The following is a 7,125-nucleotide window of genomic DNA, read 5'->3' as shown; positions in this document are numbered from 1 at the left end:
GAGTTCTTGTGCTAGTTCTTTCTCATCTCCGTGGGCAGGTGTTCCTTTAACTGTGGTATAAATTGAGAAGTCAGTAGACTTCTTTCTTGATGTTTTCAGAGTGTCAAGGCTTTCTACCAGGTCTTTATTTATAGCTGCCTTCTTGTCTTTAGTTTCACAGGGGGGTATGTTAACAAAGTATTTTGGTTATTGAACTTTCAATTGTGATCCAGTACATGGTGCTTAAGCATAATGGTCTGGTTGGTAGATAGGCTCTTGCTCAGTCAAGTGGCTCTTCTGTATTTCCTCACAATTGCAGCCATGCTCCTTCTCAGTGCTTTGAAAGTGTGCGCTCCTCTCTCTATTAAAGAGCTGGCTGCCAATCTCAGCTTTGCTCTCCTGGGCTGCCCACCACAGCTCTGGGATGATCTCAGGGTTTATATTCCCTCCTCAGCTTGGAGACAGCAGGAAAAGGAACCTTAATAGTGGTTGTGGCAGAAGACCTTTCAGTTTTCTCTTGATCTTTACCCCAGAGAGATGCAGAGCCATAATCAATCAGTGTGATAGGCCCAGGGCAGGTGGCTGTGTTGTGGGCCCAAGCCAGTGGAGTTCTGCCTTGTGACTAGTAGAGAGGCAGGTGGGACCTGGGGGAGACAGACTGACCTCCTCTCCTTGGAGCAACTGCACCTTGCTGCAGGTGTGGATAAAGCACTCAGGGTCATTGCTCCTTTTTCAGTTTTAGGGCAGCAAGGGCAGTACCAATGCAGTGGCAGAGGAGTTTCTGGTTGCTTCTGTGAGCTCCACCTCTGAGATACATGGAGCTGTGACTAGTGGGTATGTTCAGCCAGGGAGTGAGGCAGCTGCATTGCTGGCCTGAGCTGGGGGCTCTGCTTGTTGGGGAGCAAGGGGTAGAGAGCTCACAGGGAGGAGAGATTGAGCTCCTCTCCATATGGTGGCTGTGTTATGCTGTAAGTTCATGTGAAGCCCTCAAGCTCTTTGTTTTTTCCTCAGACCAAGGGCAGTAAGGGCAGAAGCATGGCTGTGGCAGTGACAGAAGGGCTGTCAGTTGCCTCTTGGAGCCTCTCCACAGGGAAACTCAGAGCCACTCCCAGTGGTTGTGCTCATCCATGGGTGGGGTGGCTGATCTGTGGTCCTGAGCAGGGGGCCTGCCTGGTGAAGAATGGGGGTGGGGCTCACAGGGAAGGGAGCCTGGGCTCCTCTCTGTATGGTGGCTGCAGTGTGCTGGAGGTGCCAACATAACGACTAGGCCCTTTGCTTCTTTCCCAGCCTGAGGGCGGTTAGGGTGGTACCATTGCAACTGCAATGGCAGAGTGGTTATTGGTTGACTCTAGGATTTTCTCCTCAGAGAAATGCAAAGCTGTCTCTGACTGAAGTGTTCAGGCTGGGGCAGGGTAGTTGTGCTGGAGTCCCAGGTTAGGTGGTCCCTCCCAGTGAGGAGAAATGGGAACGGAGACCCATGTGAACAGTCTGGCCAGTTTTACTTGGGGCGGCTGCACTGGGCTGGGGGTCTGCACCAGTCTCTAGTCACTGTAGACTCTCTAGAGCCTGATAGTAACAACAGCAAGGGCTGTGAGACAGCAAAGATGACAGTGTGCCCCTCCCTCTGGGAGCTCTGTCCCAGGGAAATGCAGAGCTGCTACTAGCCCAAGGGCAGGGGCAGGGGGTGGCTAGAGCCCCAGCACAGGAGGTTCTGCCCAGTGAAGAGAAGCAAGATCAGGGACCCACGTAAAAAACATTCTGGCTGCTTTTATGTGGGGCTGTAATGCTGTGCTGAGGGTCCACACCAATCCCTCATCACCATGGACTCTCCAGAGTATGGAGGCAACAACAGCCAGGATGGCAAGACAGTAAAGATAGCAGCCTGTCCCTCCCTGTGACAGCTTCATCCAAGGGAAGTACAGAGTTGTTACCAGGCCAAGAGCCCCAGTGGCAGATGGCTGGAGTCCCAGCTTAGTAGGTCTTATCCTGAGAGATTCATTGGAATTGAGGCCTGCAGACCATCACTGCTCAGTCCTCTGGATTCGGCCCCTTTCCTGGGGGCCTGTGAGGGAGCCTAGCCTGCCCCTTTGCCAGAGCTGCAGTGCTGATGCCGGGATGCTCAGAAATCCAAGGCTACCAGTACTCCAGGTGTGCCTAATTGGCAGCTCTTCCAAAACTCCATGTTATCTCTGCATGTCAGTCTGATGGCCCTGGTGGGATGGGCTCATGAGGGGATCTTCTAAGGCCAGGGCTACAAAAATCCATGGGAGAAGTGTGGGTCAACAGAGTTTCTCACTCACTCCCCATTTCCCTGCTGTTGGGGAGCCTCCCCTGGCTCCATTCCACTACTGAATGGGTGGTCATCCTGTCTTGCTCCTCTCCATTCTCTGTGGGTCAAGTTGTTTCCTTGATGAATCCCATATGTCCACTAGTATGTTTCAGTTGAAGATGTGGCATTTACTTGCCACTTTTTATTCTCTCCATGAGAGCAGTGCACACTAGCTGTTTCTAGTTAGCCATCTTGGCACTTCTCAAAATCTTGTATTTCATGATAAAAATTAATATAACTTTTGAATTATGGCTCATAATATTTTGATTTTTAAAAAGACAACAAAGTTGTATTTTAGATGACCCTCAAGCCCAGGTGATATTCCAAAAATATGTTCCATATTTTTTCTGTATTCTTAATCTATCTTAGGAGGTAGGCATTAACACTTAGATATTCATCTGATTGTCAAGAACATTGACATTTTTTGGTGCACTAAGGGCAAAAACAAGACATGTTTTGTTCAGTACTGGGCCACAGACGAAGCCATCAGGATAGGATGTTCTGGTTTCTTTCCCAGGCTGCCTTCCCTTTGAAGAATCTGGGCAACATCTTTTAATGCACTTTGGAAGTGAAGTAGAACATTAAATTCATTGATTTGTGGATTCCCTCAGTGTTTATCCATGTGAATTAATAATATTTCTCATCATTCCACTTTGGTAAGATTCTGGACTTCACTAAATATTACCAGCAGGTAAAACTGGATGGAAATAATATGTTGCAAGGAAGATGTTCGATTTCCTATAAAGTCATGGATTGCTCTAGCATGTTGTCCTCTGAGAAGGGTATGTCTTCAGGAAAGTTATCTTGCTAATACCACCCAACACACTGAAATTCTTTAGAGTGGGATTCAAATTTTGAACAAAACAAGTCTAGAGAACACTCGCTTTTTCTACCCCTGGGGAGCCTGGGAGAAATGGTTATTCATTTGACCTTGTTTAAAATTGATTTGAATGTACATTTTCTTGCTATAAAAATTGAAGAGAGTAAGACACATATGTGTGGCTTGTGTATCTTGTCATTACAACATGAAAGCAATACATTATTTATTTTGCCAGTAATTGAGATAAATCAACTCTATAACTAAAACAATTGCATTTGACAGATATTTCAAGAAATTTAAAAAATGATATTACCTAAAATGTACTGAGCCAAATTATTGACATTCATTGTCTTATTTAATTTAGCTCATTACTGACAGCACCCCATGAGTTGGCATTTTTACTATCTCCATTTTACGTATGTGATATAGAGTCTGAATAGGACACACAATTATTTAATAATGGCCGATAGTGAGACAGAAGCCTCATCTTGCTGTCTATCTCTTGCAACTAATAACTCTTGCTCTATACCACCATTTGATCTCTTGAAAGTTTGGAGTTAAGAGCATCAGCTTTGCAGCTTTATTGGATTCCCAGCTCTAGCACTTATTAACTCTATAAACTTGCATCATTTACTTAACTTGTATATTTCACAGTTTTCTTGTCTGAAAGCAAGGGTAAAAGTAGTGCCTGCCTCAAAAATTTGTTATTATGAGAGAATGTAGTGCTCAACTAATTCATTCTATGATATTATTTTATAGGCCACACCAGACCGAAGATTTAAAATATATTCACAAAGTAATATACAAGACTTTTTGCATTTATAAATGTAATATTCGTGGTTTAACCTGTTTGTGAACAACCCTGAAGATCTGTGACATGTGATAATGTGTAATATTGCTGTAGTATCAACTTTAGTCATAGGTCTGAAGAGGCTGGTGTGGGAAGGGGTGCTTAGCTGTTCACCTCTTAGCTCTATTGTTTCTTTTTATCACAATGCTGGCAGTAGTTCTTGAAAAGTGATAAAACAAGAACAAAAACAATTTTTTTTGAGTTGGTGTGTCTGTGAAAATGGCTCTAAAAGACATTGGTGATGGAAATGAAGAAAATGTGCTGAGATCTAAGAACTAGATGGATCTTAGCTAGAAAATATTAATGTTGAGTAATATAAATTCCGGCATATCAGATTCAGCATCAATCAATTTCTTTTTAGAATCAGTCTACCATAACATCTTTAGGGAGTCAAGACCAGATGAAAAAACTAATGAAACTGTTTCTCTGGATACTCAAATCACATTTATTTTAATCTTGTTATAAATGAGTTTAGTCTTTGTCAAAGTCAGAATCTAAGTTGGAAGAGGATGGTACACTTAAATATGGGAATTGAGAGAAGATGAATAAAGGGATTATTTGCAAAGGTGAAGACAAGTTTAAGGGAAACAAATAAACAGAGGCTCAGAGCCCCAAGGCAAGCAAGAGTAGGAAGTTGCTACCATTCCTGGGTCTAAGGTGTTAAAGTGTGGGAGGAATTGCCTGAAACTGCAAAGAGCAGCAGATATTCTAAGGGCCATGGCCTTCAGAGGAATGATGCAGCAAATGCATGGCAACTTGGCAGAGATGGAGCCAGGGAAATACCCATTCTTACACGCTTCCCACCATCTGATCTCCAGCTGAGGCCTGCCATTGGCTGAGCCTTAGTTGAAGCCAAATAGTAAGGAAACCTCTTGATGAACTCAATAAACCTCTTGATGAACCCATTTCCTTTATTGGACCTTTAATAAAGGTCCAGTGAACCTTTGTGCAGTTTTTATAGAGTGGATCTGGAGGGATTAATGAAAAATATTCAACACAATTCTTCATTTATTATTATTAAAGTTTTCTTAAAGTGGCTTATTAATGCATATTCATATTTTATATGCTAAGTATTCTTCTAGTAAATAAGAATATAGCAGTGAACAAAAGAGTTAAAAATTCCTACCTTCATGGAGCTTACATTCTAGTTGGGGTTATATTTAATTATATTTTATGAAAACAAATTTTATGCTCTAAAACTGTGAATTTGCATATTCACGAAGGTTTCTAAATAAATTCTTCTTGAATACTAAGATGCTTTATCTATTTATTTATTTCTCATGCTTTTCATCCAATTTCTTCCAAATTATTCTAATAATCTTATATTTTTTGTATAAACTACTTTTCTTTCCCTTAGAATAAGTTTATTTCTAGAAACTTTCTATCATTCATGTAAATAAGTATCCCTTGCAGACAATTGTTATTATTCCTTCTATAATATCTGAATGATAGGATAAAGAGTAATTTTCAAATAGTAAAAACATTATTTAATATAATAGTGTATAATAATATGTTATAATAGTGTATAACATAAATTAGTAGAGAAAAAATTGAATGAGGAAAAATAGTTCCAATATAAGAGAAGGTAAAAAGGAAGAAAAACGTACAAAGAACTGGTAGACCAAATCTAAGCACAAAATAAATCAAAAATTACTTGTAATTGCAATAAATACAAAAGAATAAAATGTTACAATTTAAATAGATTGTCAAACTAGACTTCAAAACTAAAGGTGTTTCTGTCTATAAGAGATACATCTAAGAGATAATGACATAGAAATTTTCAAAAGTAAATGTTTAGAAAAAGTAACTCATGCCAATAATAAAAAAAATAAAGTGTCCCAATGCAAAGAAAAGATAAATGCTTGCAGTGATTGGGTGGAAGTTTCAGTTACCCTGATTTGATCATTACACATTGTATATAGGTACCGAAATATCACATGTACTCCTAAAATATGTACAACTATTATGTCAATTAAAAAAGAAAATCGATTGTAGTCTTTTAATTTCAAGTGAAATAAACTTAAGAGGTAGAAACATTATAAGAGTTAATGTCATGTCATAATGATAAATAATTCTGAAGTTGTATGCATCTAATAAGAAAGACTCAAAATATATACAGCAAAAAATAATAACAGCTATACAAAAATAAAGCAACCTATCATGAAGATGGGCATATAAAAATATCTAGATCAGTACTTATTAGAAAAAGCAGACCAAAAAATATCAGCAATGATACAGATTTGTTAAAAACAGGTTAATCAGTTTGATGTAATGGACATATATGTTACCATATTCAGGAGCTATAAAACATTCTTTACAAGCATACACAGACAATTGACTAAATATTGGCTTTATAAAGCAAGCTTTAATACATCTCAAAGAATTAATGTCATAAAAGTCACATTTTTTACCATTATGCTATCAAGTTAAAAATCAGTAACAAAAAGTTGATGAGAACACACTTATAAAAGATATATAGGTCAAAGAAATCAAATATTAGAAAAATATTAGACACCAAATGATAAACATATGATACAGACAATTAATTTTGAAATATGGAATTTATACAGAACTATGAAGCCTAAAATTTTGTATCTGAAAAGAAGAAAGGCTGAGCTAAGCATCCATACTAAACAGTTAGAATGAGGACAGCACTGTAAACCTAAAAAACTGGGAAATTACCTGTCATTACAGAATTGCTTATTAAGATTCTTAAATCCTTGAGTTTTTAGGATAATTGAGAACAGAAAGACAAGATGCAATGAAGTGAACAGAATCTTAAGCAGTTCTAAAATGAGAGGTAATAAAGATCCTTCAGCAAGGAAAAAATCAGCATGTATCATAGGCTTCGTAGCAATCTTTGGTAACAGAAAATCTTTCAATATGCTTAACAGTTCAGGCAAATCATTTTTTATTTAGCTAAGCTATAAATTGCATCAAGCAAGCATCCCTCTACTATGGCTAAGGTGTCAGAGAAAAGTAACAGAAGAACATTTCTGTCCTAAATCCATTCTCCTCACCACTACATATATTGTCTTGCTTTTTTCACCTCTTTTTATCACATATAGCCCTTGACCAAGTAAAACTGCTTTTGTCTGATACCAGAGTTTTATAGGCTAAAGCAATATTTTCCAGAGTTTTGGATTT

At 38.9% G+C, this 7,125-nt stretch overlaps 1 annotated feature.

The window, feature by feature from the left end:
• Nucleotides 2,017-2,205: a silencer, noted in NCBI's record as "fragment chr18:4944402-4944590 (GRCh37/hg19 assembly coordinates)". NCBI's record gives its function as "represses an EF-1alpha promoter that drives an FKBP-Casp9 reporter gene in an ReSE screen in phorbol 12-myristate 13-acetate-treated (for megakaryocytic differentiation) K562 erythroleukemia cells {active_cell/tissue: K562(+PMA)}" and the evidence as "EXISTENCE:reporter gene assay evidence [ECO:0000049][PMID:32094911]".

Source organism: Homo sapiens, chromosome 18 (genome assembly GCF_000001405.40).
Source record: "Homo sapiens chromosome 18, GRCh38.p14 Primary Assembly".
Lineage (NCBI taxonomy): Eukaryota > Metazoa > Chordata > Mammalia > Primates > Hominidae > Homo > Homo sapiens.
The sequence above is the reverse complement of the archived record's forward strand: the minus strand, read 5'-3'. Positions and strand labels throughout refer to the sequence as shown.